The 12,492-nt window shown below is 43.5% G+C and overlaps 1 protein-coding gene across 55 annotated transcripts in view; it reads right to left on the reverse strand.

Annotated features, from left to right (window-relative positions):
• NBPF15 (NBPF member 15) overlaps positions 1–12,492 on the reverse strand; it is a 40,280-nt gene that overhangs the window by 6,222 nt on the left and 21,566 nt on the right. For 47 of the 55 annotated variants that reach the window (NM_001385416.1, NM_001385377.1, NM_001385374.1 and 44 more), the window contains 9 exons: positions 12,218–12,427; positions 10,334–10,436; positions 9,284–9,498; positions 8,170–8,242; positions 7,500–7,705; positions 6,162–6,213; positions 2,089–2,252; positions 995–1,046; positions 207–379 (listed from right to left, as the gene is read on the reverse strand). In NM_001385416.1, the coding sequence (NP_001372345.1) occupies positions 207–379; positions 995–1,046; positions 2,089–2,252; positions 6,162–6,213; positions 7,500–7,705; positions 8,170–8,242; positions 9,284–9,498; positions 10,334–10,436; positions 12,218–12,392 (1,213 nt within the window). In that variant the 5' untranslated portion in view covers positions 12,393–12,427. Of the gene's footprint in view, positions 1–206; positions 380–994; positions 1,047–2,088; positions 2,253–4,109; positions 4,194–6,161; positions 6,214–7,499; positions 7,706–8,169; positions 8,243–9,283; positions 9,499–10,333; positions 10,437–12,217; positions 12,428–12,492 lie in introns of all 55 variants that reach the window. The other 8 variants (NM_001385443.1, NM_001385445.1, NM_001385442.1 and 5 more) reach the window with 3 other exon arrangements.

Here is a 12,492-nt window from a genome sequence, read left to right on the forward strand (position 1 = left end):
GAGACTAGGAAGAGAGCCTTGCTCACTGATCCATCCCTTGTCTGGGCTTCCAAGTGGAACTAGAGTTTCATTCAACCTACATGTGCCTATAGGTCCTCCCTGTGGCAATGACATCTCTCAGCTCAGTAAGGGCCACTTGCAGTAGGAATATGACCCTAACCAGAAGACTCAGTGGATCCTTATCACCTTCATAGAAAGGTACTCACCATCCATGTCAATAGCCAAGCCAACACGCTGTTGCTCCAATACGTAAAAGGCACTTCTGTAGGGCTGGCATGAGTCAGTCAGTTCAAGACAACCTGAAGGAGTTGAATAACATCTATCCAGTGAGTCCTGCAAGACTTCAGGCTCTTTCTCATCCAGCAGCTCCCTGCTGAGCCTGGAAAAGTGGGAAAAAGTAAAGAATAAGCCAGGGGGAATCAGAAACCACACAGTCCCAGCTAGATTTCATGGCTAACATAAGGAAGAGTTTGAAAAGAAAAAGGACAGATCCATTAATGAGGTAACAAATTATTGCCTTTATGTTGGGATAGACTAGGGCCAGGTAGAAAAGGATGAAAGAGAAAGACACACACACACACACACACACACACACACACACAGAGCGAGCTCAGTGAATTGGTCAGGTGACACACTGATGAGGGAATCAAAGGACACTCTGTATTTGTGCTCTCAGGACACACAGTGAACAGTGATCATGAAAAGCATGTCCTCAATAATTTTGCATAAAATGTGCTCAAGTTTCCCTGCAGTTACCATGAGAATACAGCTTTTGAGGTATGGTCAACCTTCACTAGGTTAGTAAATGATAAGTGTAGGAAGAAATGGAAACCTAAACATTTACTCTAATGAGAACCAAAAAGCAATGTAGTAGGCATAATTCAGACTTGTCTGACAAGACAAAATCATTATTTTCAGCATGTACTGTTTTCCCTGGACTTGGCATCTCCAGGTGTCAACATCAAATTAACTGTCCACAATTTCTCAGACTCACCTGGGACCTGTTGCCTCTTGGTCCTCCTTTTTCACTTGATCCCACCGATGTCCTGCAAATAAATTCAGATGGGCCCTCTTACATTAAGCAGTTCTTCCTTGCACACAGAAACATTCCTCTGTCCAATCCTAACACAGGGACATCAGTCTTGTCAGTGTGAGAACAGGAGACTTTGAGAGAAATATTCCAGTAGGCCTGAGGTCAAGTCTTGAGAAAACTGGCTTGGGTTCTTTCATGAGCCTTGGGCAAAATTCCCCTGTTTTGGAATGTTATCTTCCCTATGTGCTCTGTCCTAGGTTTATGTACACAAATGAGCAATTTTTTCCCCAATAAATTGTAGGCAAATAGTTCTAACACCTCATAGGAGAGATACTTCAATATTAAGCTTTCTCTCATTAAATACCCAGAATTTGATAGTTTATGAGATTGTGGACACAGAGATTTGATGAAGGGGTGCAATGTACCAGCTCTTGAGTCAAAATGAAACTTGGTTCTACACAGAAGCATCAGCTATTATGGCTTTTGTGGGTGAAAAGTCAGCCGTTTATCTAGAAAACGTACCAGGAACATGATGGACAGATGAGCTAAAACAAGCGCACTTAGAAGACACAGAAAATGGGAATAAATTCAGTGAAACCTGGGTCACATCTTTCACTGAGAAGTAGACAAGGGTGACACTGGCCTTGGGCAGGTAAAGAACCACACAGACATGCTTTGGGAACAAAACTCATAAGGAATTTTGTAGCTGGCAAGAGACATTTAATTCAGATGAGCTGAGCTGACAGACAGCTCCTGGGCATGTGCTGCATAGTTTGGTGTGAGTTTGCCACACCTGCCTTGAGTTCAATGTCGTGACAGTCAGTCCAGGTTGGCACGGGCATGGCCTGAGACTAGGAAGAGAGCAAAGCTCACTGACCCACCCCATGCCTGTGCTTCAGACTCGACTCCAGAGTGATTGAAATCTACATTGATATATAGATTCAGCCCACGGTGATGGCAAATCTCAGCCCAACAAGGGGCACAAGGCCCAAAGATTATGGGGTCTACCTGGGCCATGAACTGGAGCTTTATCACCTTCACAATGGAGTACTCACTGCCTATGTCAACAGCCATGCAGACTTGCTGTTCCTCTAATGAGTGAAATGTGCTGCTGTAAGACTGGTACGAGGCCAACATTTCAGGAGGAATTGAGAGAGTCGAATAACCTTCATCCCAGGACTCCTGGGGGACTTCCTCCTCTTCAGACTCCTGCAGATTCCTGATGAGCCAGGCAGGACAGGGATGATAGAAGATTTAACCAACAGACATTAGACAACAAAACCTCCCAGATGATCTGATGGGAGACAGAATGGAGTGGTCACAGAAACCAAAGGCATTTTTCCTTCAAGAGAAATAAAACTATCCTTCTAAATACAGGGTGGAGGGTGACTGCTCTGGGGACACAGCAAAAATGGGCAGCATGTGCTCAGTACATTTGCCACAGATGAGCCAACTCAGGGCACCCAGACTCTCCCTGTAAACTACCATCATGACTTGCAGCACAGAGAACTGACACAGGGCTTCAACTACTTTGCATAAATTGGGTTGAATTTTACATGCAGCATTCAAGTGAAGAGAGTTCTTGACGCAGTGCAGACACAGATCTTGTGTATTAAGGGCCCCATTTTCCCAATATTTTGATATAATATATTTACTTTTTCAATTTCTTTTCTTGCAAAAATACTAGCCAACATACTACCAACAAATAGGAAGAAAGCATGTATACACCTCTCCCTGGATTTAAACACATGGGAGAGAATAGGCAACACCAAGAAATCCCTGTTTGAGGGTCTGGAGTGGACTTCCAGCAAACTCCAACAGACCTGAAGCTGAGGGACCTGACTGTTAGAAGGAAAACTAACACACAGAAAGGAATAGCATCAACATCAACAAAAAAGACATCCACCCCAAAACCCCATCTGTAGGTCACCATCATCAAAGACCAAGGGTAGATAAAACCACAAAGGTGGGGAGAAACCAGAGCACAAAAGCTGAAAATTCCAAAAACCTGACATCCCTTCTCCTCCAAAGGATCGCAGCTCCTCGCCAGCAATGGAACAAAGCAGGATGGAGAATGACTTTGATGAGCTGACAGAAGTAGGCTTCAGAAAGTCGGTAATAACAAACTTCTCTGAGCTAAAGGAGGATGTGCGAACTCATCTCAAGGAAGCTAAAAACCTTGAAAAAAGATTAGACGAATGGCTAACCAGAATGAACAGTGTAGAGAAGACCTTAAATGACCTGATGGAGCTGAAAACCATGGCACGAGAACTACGTGGTGCATGCACAAGCTTCAGTAGCCAATTCGATCAAGTGCAAGAAATGGTATCAGTGATTCAAGATCAAATTAATGAAATGAAGCGAGAAGAGAAGTTTAGAGAAAAAAGAGTAAAAAGAAATGAACAAGCCTCCAATAAATATGGGACTATGTGGAAAGACCAAATCTACGTTTGATTGGTGTACTGAAAGTGACGGGGAGAATGGAACCAAGCTGGGAAACATTCTTCAGGATATTATCCAGGAGGACTTCCCCAACCTAGCAAGGAAGGCCAACATTCAAATTCAGGAAACACAGAGAACACCATAAAGATACTCCTCGAGAAGAGCAACCCCAAAACACTTAATTGTCAGATTCACCAAGGTTGAAATGAAGGAAAAAATGCTAAGGGCAGCCAGAGAGAAAGGTCGGATTACCCACAAAGGGAAGCCCATCAGACTAGTAGCAGATCTCTTGGCACAAACCCTACAAGCCAGAAGAGAGTGGGAGCAATATTCAACATTCTTTTTTTTTCCATATGTATAGTTTTCCTTTATTATTTTTTGTGTGTATGTATATATATATATATACAGATATATATATTTTAATACTTTAAGTCTTAGGGTACATGTGCACAACGTGCAGGTTAGTTACATATGTATACATGTCCACATTGGTGTGCTTCACCCATTAACTCATCATTTAACATTAGGTATATCTCCTAATGCTACCCCTCCTCCCTCCCCCCACCCTACAACAGGCCCCAGTGTGTGATGTTCCCCTTTCTGTGTCCATGTGTTCTCATTGTTCAATTCCCACCTGTGAGTAAGAACATGCGGTATTTGGTTTTTTGTCCTTGCAATAGTTTGCTGAGAATGATGGTTTCCAGCTTCATCCATGCCCCTACAAAGGACATGAACTCATCATTTTTTATAGCTGCATAGTATTCCATGGTGTATATGTGCCACATTTTCTTAATCCAGTCTATCATTGCTGGATATTTGGCTTGGTTCCAAGTCTTTGCTATTGTGAATAGTGCCACAATAAACATATGTGTGCATGTGTCTTTACAGCAGCATGATTTATAATCATTTGGGTACACACCCAGTAATGGGATGGCTGGGTCAAATAGTATTTCTAGTTCTAGATCCCTGAGGAATTGCCACACTGCCTTCCACAATCATTGAACTAGTTTACAGTCCCACCAACAGTGTAAAAGTGTTCCTATTTCTCCACATCCTCTCCAGCATCTTCAACCTTCTTAAAGAAAAGAATTTTCAACCCAGAATTTCATATCCAGCCAAACAAAGCTTCATAAGTGAAGGAGAAATAAATCCTTTACAGAGAAGCAAATGCTGAGAGATTTTGTCACCACCAGGCCTGCCTTACAAGAGCTCCTAAAGTAAGCACTAAACATGGAAAGGAACAACCGGTACCAGCCACTACAAAAACATGCCAAACTGTAAAGACCATTGACGCTAGGAAGAAACTGCATCAACTAACGGGCGAAATAACCAGCTAATATCATAATGACAGGATCAAATTCACACATAACAATATTAACCTTAAATGTAAATGGGCTAAATGCCCCAGTTAAAAAACACAGAATGGCAAATTGGATAAAGAGTCAAGACCCATCAGTGTGCTGTACTCAGGAAACCCATCTCACATGCAGAGACACACATAGGCTCAAAATAAAGGGATGGAGGAAGATCTACCAAGCAAATGGAAAACAAAAAAAGGCAGGGGTTGCAATCCTAGTCTCTGATAAAACAGACTTTAAACCAACAAAGATCAAAAGAGACAAAGAAGGCCACTACATAATGGTAAAGGGATCAATTCAACAAGAGTTAACTATCCTAAATATATATGCACCCTATACAGGAGCACCCAGATTCATAAAGCAAGTCCTGAGAGACCTACAAAGAGATTTAGACTCCACACAATCATAATGGGAGACTTTAACACCCCACTGTCAATATTAGACAGATCAATGAGACAGAAGCTTAACAAGGATATCCAGGACTTGAACTCAGCTCTCCACCAAGCAGACCTAAAAGACATCTACAGAACTCTCCACCCCAAATCAACAGAATATACATTCTTCTCAGCACCACATCACACTTATTCCAAAATTGACCACATAGTTGGAGGTAAAGCACTCGTCAGCAAATGTAAAAGAATGGAAATCACAACAAACTGTCAGACCACAGTGCCATCAAATTAGAACCCAGGATTAAGAAACTCACTCAAAACCGCACAACTACATGGAAACTCAACAACCTGCTCCTGAATGACTACTGGGAAAATAACAAAATGAAGGCAGAAATAAAGATGTTCTTTGAAACCAATGAGAACAAAGACACAACATACCAGAATCTCTGAGACACATTTAAAGCAATGTGTAGAGGGAAAATTATAGCACTAAATGCCCACAAGAGAAAGCAGAAAAGATCTAAAATTGACATCCTAACATCACAATTAAAATAACGAGAGAAGCAAAGCAAACAAATTCAAAAGCTAGCAGAAGACAAGAAGTAACTAAGATCAGAGCAGAACTAAAGGAGATAGAGACACAAAAAACCCTTCAAAAAATCAATGAATCCAGGGCTGGTTTTTTGAAAAGATCAACAAGAAAACCCTGTTTGGCTAGTTCACCTGGCTCATCTGATGGCAAGTTCCTATCTTGAGAGGACTATGAAATTAAAACCAATACAAGTGCCACAAATAACATACAACATTGTAAATCAGCACAATTTGTAGCTGGGTGAATGGAAGAAATAGTTCTATTCATCACTTCCTCATTTTCCCTAAATCTACAATCTCCAGATGTCACTACTGAATTAACAGCCAACAATTCCACAACATTACCTGGGAGACACTGGCCCTTTTTCTTCCTCTTCCTCATCATCACTTTCATTTTCTGTAAATAAATTCAGAGAAGCAGGTCACATTAAGCAATTCATACTTCACATAGGAACAAATCACTGTCCAGTCATAGCACAAGGACATAACTATTCTCAGTGCAAGAATAAGGATTCTGACAGGAATATTCTAGGGTGTCCTAGATTAACTTTGGTGAGAATTAGATGACCCTGCTTTCCAGACCCACAGGCCAAAATCTCCCTCTACGTGTAGACCATAATGACATATTCCCTGCCTGAGTCAAAGTTAAACAAAATTTTTTCCCCAAAAAAATCTCCAAAAATTGGTCAAACAATTTTCTAAGAGTGTTGCTGCAATACGGACTTATATCACCAGGTAACATGGACATTAAATGTTTAGAGGCATCTATACATGAAACACGACTGATAGATAAATTTGAACAACTCTTGCTTTAAAAAGAATCTGTGATTTGGGAGGCCAAGACAGGTGAATCATTTGAGGTCATGAGTTCAGGACTACCCTGGCCAATATGGGGAAACCCTGTCTCTACTAAAAATACAAAAATTAGCCAGATGTGATGTTGTGCACCTGTGGTCCCAGCAACTCAGGAGGCTGAGGCAGGAGAATCACTTGAATCTGGGAGGGAGAGGTTGCACCAAGCCAAGATGGTGCCACTGCACTCCAGCCTGGGTGACAGAGCAAGACTCCATCGCAAAAAAAAAAAAAAAAAAAAATCCACGATGCTACAAAGAAACATTGGATCAGCCATTGCATTGACAGGGTGGAGAACCAGGGTCCAGCCTTGCTTTATGGAAATATATCAGCAAAGTAAAGAAGAAAAGTTTCCGTCCTGATTTCAGGGTGACTGTGCAGCTAAGCAAGCTGACTTAAAGGAGATCCAGATGAAAGCTGAGAGCAGTGAAGCCTGAGGAACGATATTTCCAAATACAAAGGCAAGGCTGCCAGCTTCCTTAAACAGGCATAGAAACTCCATGGGCATTGTTCAGGGACAGATGACTTAATCACAGATGACAAGAGATACTGAATCGAAGCTAGGAGGCCTGACAGATATGGCCTGTGCACCTCCTGCACTCAGGTGACTATGAGATTGTCACACTTGCCTGGGGTTGAGTAACTTGATACTGGGGACTGGCAGACAAAGGCATGACATTAGCTGAGAAGGACAAAAAAACTCCCTGATATCTGTTTAGAAACCCATCACAGTTTTTTATTCAAATGAATTTGTGTTGATAGAGCCTGTCTTCAGAGTTTATCTTCCTCAGCCTAGAGAGAGGTATGAGACACAAGGAAAACAGAGGCTACCTGGAATAATGTGTACAGCATCCTCCCATTCAACATGAGAGGATGAGCCAATGAGAGTTGAGTCGACTTTGTCTTCCTCAAATGTGATTTTGGTTTTCTTATGTGGCTGGTTGGAGTCATAAGGGCCATGGCTATTTGAACAAGTGATGGCACATTCCTCCAGTGAGTCCTCAGGGACTTCCTTTTCTTCAGCCTTCTGCATCTCCCTGATGAGCCAGGTGGGACAGAGATGACAGAAGATTAAACACAGAGGGATTGGACCCCAGGGAGTCCTAGCTGGTTTTGACAGGCGGCATTAAGAGAGTGGTCCCAGAAAGCAAAATGGACGTTCCCATTAAGAGGGAACATGCAATCCTGTTCTCTCTGCAACAGAGCATGGCTGCCATGGGAACCAGAGAGGAAGAGAGCAGCTGCTGTTCATTGCACTGGACAGATAGGAGCTGAGGAGGATGAAGACTCAGCTATCCCTGTACGGTGCAGACATGACACTCGGCACACACAGAGAAACATGACAGCTGCCGCACCCTGTGTCTAAGCTGGGTTATATTTCACATACTGTGGCCAAGCGAATGCGGGTTTTTGGCCCATCATAGATGCCAGAGAGGGTGTGCCTCCTAGATATTCCTCATATGTTACCATCCATTAATTGTTCCTGAGTATTCAGTGTTACCTGGGGGCAGACGATTTCTGCACTTTCTCAGCCACCTCAACTTGAACATCTTCATCGTCATCGTTGTCATTTTCTGTAAATACAGAAGTGTTCGTTCAGATATTTCCCACTTCACAGTCTGCAAGCACAGTCAGCCCAATGTGCAACAGAGACATGAACATCTAGGCATGGGTCACCGTTCAACTGAAAACTCTCATGTTTTATCTTTAACAGAATGCCCTGGCATGGTTTCCTGATCCATCAGGCAATGCATTTCTGATCTGGAGGGCCACCATCAAGATGTGGCCAAATATTGAAAAGACCTTTTGCTTCCCATATCACTGGAGGCTTGTGCAGCCTCTCTCTGGACATTGGCAGCTGTCTCCCCCATCCTGCCAGATCTGATTCCCAGGCACAGGCTTGGTGTCCCGTCACAGTTTGCATTTCAAACCTAATTCTTTCTCTTAGAAGCAGACAAACTTGTCCCACAGTCCTCTATGCATCAGAAGATTTCAAGCCTCCAAGTGGCTTCTGCTGTGTTATTCAGGGACATTCTATCCATGGGGAGTGCTCCAGTCTGAAGCACTTCCTACCACAAAACGCCCCCACATAAAGTGCCTTCTCCAACATCACACGGTGAGGGCCTTCATCTCATTTTGGAAAGCAGTTGTAAGTGTTCCCACATTTGAATGCTTCAGACCCTTGCAAGAGACAATTTGTCTGCCACGGAGAGAGAGAAACTCAGGAAGGACAAGTCATTCACTCTCTGACAGTTACTAAGAACATTGCCGAAAAGACAGCCTGGGAATCTTCATTCTTAGTCCAGAGCTCTTTTCACTCTAACAAGCCTGCTCCCATCGCAGCCTCCTTCCTGTCCTTTAAAACTAGACAGATGCTGCCTCATACTCCAAAGACCACCTTCCATCAAGGGAGGAGGGACACTTGCAATACTGTGACCTCCAACCCCATGGGTTTCCCATCTCCGTTCTTACCCAAGAAGTCCTGGTCATGTCATGGCCACATAAGCTTAGTGGAAAAAAACACCATTGATACAACTGTCATTGTGAAAGTATGGAGGTCTGGAGTCTCTCATAAGCCTGGGATTTTGGGTCATCAGGGCCTATGGCCACCTTACCTGGGCTGAGCTTTTGGACAAGGTGCTGTGTCAGTCTACACCCCTCAGCCAGCTGTTCTTGGAGGTCCTGCCCCTGGGACTTGTCCGGCTCATCCGGAGTGAGGAGGGCCTGGAGATGCTCATTCAATGAGCGGGAGGCATCTCTCCCTTCCCGTAACTTCTCCCTTAACTGGGTCAGCTCTCGTTCCTGAGCGTGAACCAGGACTTTATATTGCCTAAGGTGAGACGGTAGAGAAAATTTAAGAGTGGAAAGGGTTGAGTGATCCGCTCAAATATTGCAACAGAGATTTCTGAGACAATGTCCTCAAGGAGACCTCGAAGCAGAAGGTCAGCACATGTTTAAAGGAATGTCTGTGGCCAAGAGAAAGAATAGAAAATGGTTTACAGGCTTCCTCTGTATCAGAGAGGGCTCCTGCAAGATCCTCGATGATGTTCCATTCATCTTTCTCTTCTGTAAACAAAAGTAGGTGTCTTCCTAATTCCGTTTCAAAAAGACATCCTTTCAGTTCCTCACTCTGGCCATGGACATTTCCATGTGAAAATACACATAGTGCATCTTGCGGCCACTAGATACAAAGCCATGTACAGAAATGAGGCCAGGTGCAGATGGGGTGAATTGAAAAGACGAAAGAAGAAAAGAATGACAGGGTCGAGAAGGCAACATTGATTGAGTGAAAGAATGAGAAGCCGCAGTCAGTCAGGAGGTGATTCTCACTAAGGGTAAGTGGGGTGGTGATGGCACACCATTTTGAGTATACTGAATGCTGCTGTGTGGTTCACACTCCTTTGGTTAATTTTGTGTTATGTAAATTTCACATCAACAATTACTTGTTTGAAAAAGAGAAAACAAGGCTCTGAGAAACAACTGCAACCCATACATTTTTATTATCCTTCTTCTCTGTTTGATAAATATTTGTGTGTAGCGAGCCTGCCATGGCAATTCCTGCCCTTCCCCTGGCCCAGCTTAGCTCTTACATCTCCCCACCGAGCTGCTGTACTTCAGAGATTTACACACCTGCCCCCCTGCCTGCCCCCATGGGGTCCCCTCACCTGAGCTCCTCAGCTTGCTTGAGCTGCTCTGCAAGCTTCTCCTCCTTGAACTGTCGCTCATTCCTCAGCATAAATTTTATGAGATCTTTGCACTCTTCATATTCTGAGAAAAGACAGACACGCCTGCCTCAGTGGAAGGCTGGACATGCTGCTGTGGTCATTGCCTACAGGACAGGAGCCAGGTCCATCCCAAGGACAAAACTCTCCCCAGTACCAGGGTCTAGACAGGGATTTCCACATCTTTACTCTTCAGTCTCCTGACTTTCTGGCATCTGATCCTCCAAAATTTAGAGATGAAGAAAGAGAACCTCAAGGGCACATCAAGGAAGTTGACAAGATGATTCAACCACAACAAAGTGGAGTCAGAATTCACAGTCCCTGAGGTCTGACTCTGAATGCGGGGCCACTTTCCCAAGCCTTGCAGCCTCTCCTCTAAAACACTGCACTGGGGCATGAAGTAGTGATTTCTCGTACAGTCGGGAAGGCCCCTAGGACTATGGGACTGATGGTTTCCCTTTTACTGGGAATTTCAAGGACAAGTATGTGAAAGATTTTTAAAATCTTTGATTTTTAAATCATATCTTCAGTTATGATTTTAAGAATCATATCTGAAGCATAAAGAGTGACACATAACACCATAAGGCCATGAAGGAAATATGCCCAAATGCTAATAAAGTTTGTGTTAATTTAGAAACAGCAGAATGAACAACTAATAGATAGTGTTTACTGTGTGCCAATAAATGTTCTAGGAGATTGACAAGAAATAGCTCATGTAATTCACTGCAGCAATTTACAGAGGTAGGTATTATTGTAGTACCCTCTGAACAGGTGAGGAAACTGAGGGACAGACAAGACAAGCAACTTGGATGGAGCCCAGTAGACAGGCCCACAGTCCCTGCTCTGTACACTGCACTGTTATCTCCACACATTCTCGGATGCGATCTTTCTTCCTCTTTAGCAACAAGACTCTGTGCCCCAGGAAGCAGGACTTCACTCTCACCAAGCTACTCTCTGCTTTTTATTCTTATTTTTATTTATCATTATTATTATTATTTTTTTTTAACAGTCTTGCCCTGTCGCCCAGGCTGGAGTGCAATGGCAAAATCTTGGCTCACTGCAACCTCAGCCTCCTGGGTTCAAAGGATTCTCCTGCCTCAGCCTCCTAGGCAGGGGTGATTACAGTCACCTGCCACCACGCCCATCTACTTTTTGTATTTTTAGTGGAGATGGGGTTTCTCCATGTTGCCCAGGCTGGTCTCAAACTCCTGACCTCATGATCTGCCCGCCTCAGCCTCCCAAAGTGCTGGGATTACAGGAGTGAGCCACCATGCACGGCCCCTACTCCCTGCTCTTGATGCTGTCACTTATAGACAGCACAGGTTCTATTAGGAGTAGACTCCTCTTGAAGCCCCTCAGAGCAGGTACTGGCTACTATCACCAAGTTTCCCTCAGAGTCACTAGAACAGAGCTTTGCCTGTTGGGCCTCCACAGAAACTTGAACTGAAGAAAAGTTCACTAGTCTCAGACATTTAGAACAACAGACTAGATGTTATTTGTCTGCAGGATCTTATATGGTACAGAGAGGATTCTTGAAAACATGATTGAGCCTCTTGGAGAAAACAGGTCATTCTGTGCCTGTGTCAGAAATCAATAAATGGCAGTTTAACTCTAGTCCCACCCCCACCTGATTGCAAACATGGAAAGTTGCTAAATACTTTGGTACCTCTGTCTTCCAACTTTAACAAAATGTTAAAATACCCATTTCTGTTTTCCTAGAAGTACAGGAAGGATGAAATTATTTTTGATGGAGAGAGCATTTAGTGTCTCAGAGAGAAGACAGGACATCATTCATCACTTTCATGACGGTGAGCCTATAGATCTTACTGTATTTCTTCTGTCGGTTGGCCAGGAAGCCGGCCAGTTGAGTTAGAAAACATTTCTCTTTGAGGTTTCTGAACTGCTGTTTCTTCTCTGCCAACTGGGGGCGCAATTTCTCATTGATTTCTAGAATGTTCATCTCTGCCTTCTCGCTGGACAAAGGGCCGGCTGATACCACCATGCTGACGTTTGTGGCAGAAGAGGTGGAGTCAGGGACTGGGGAGAAGAAACCCAAACATATGATGGGTTAAAAACTGGTGAAATCAAATAGGTTTAATCAG

Source organism: Homo sapiens, chromosome 1 (genome assembly GCF_000001405.40).
Source record: "Homo sapiens chromosome 1, GRCh38.p14 Primary Assembly".
Lineage (NCBI taxonomy): Eukaryota > Metazoa > Chordata > Mammalia > Primates > Hominidae > Homo > Homo sapiens.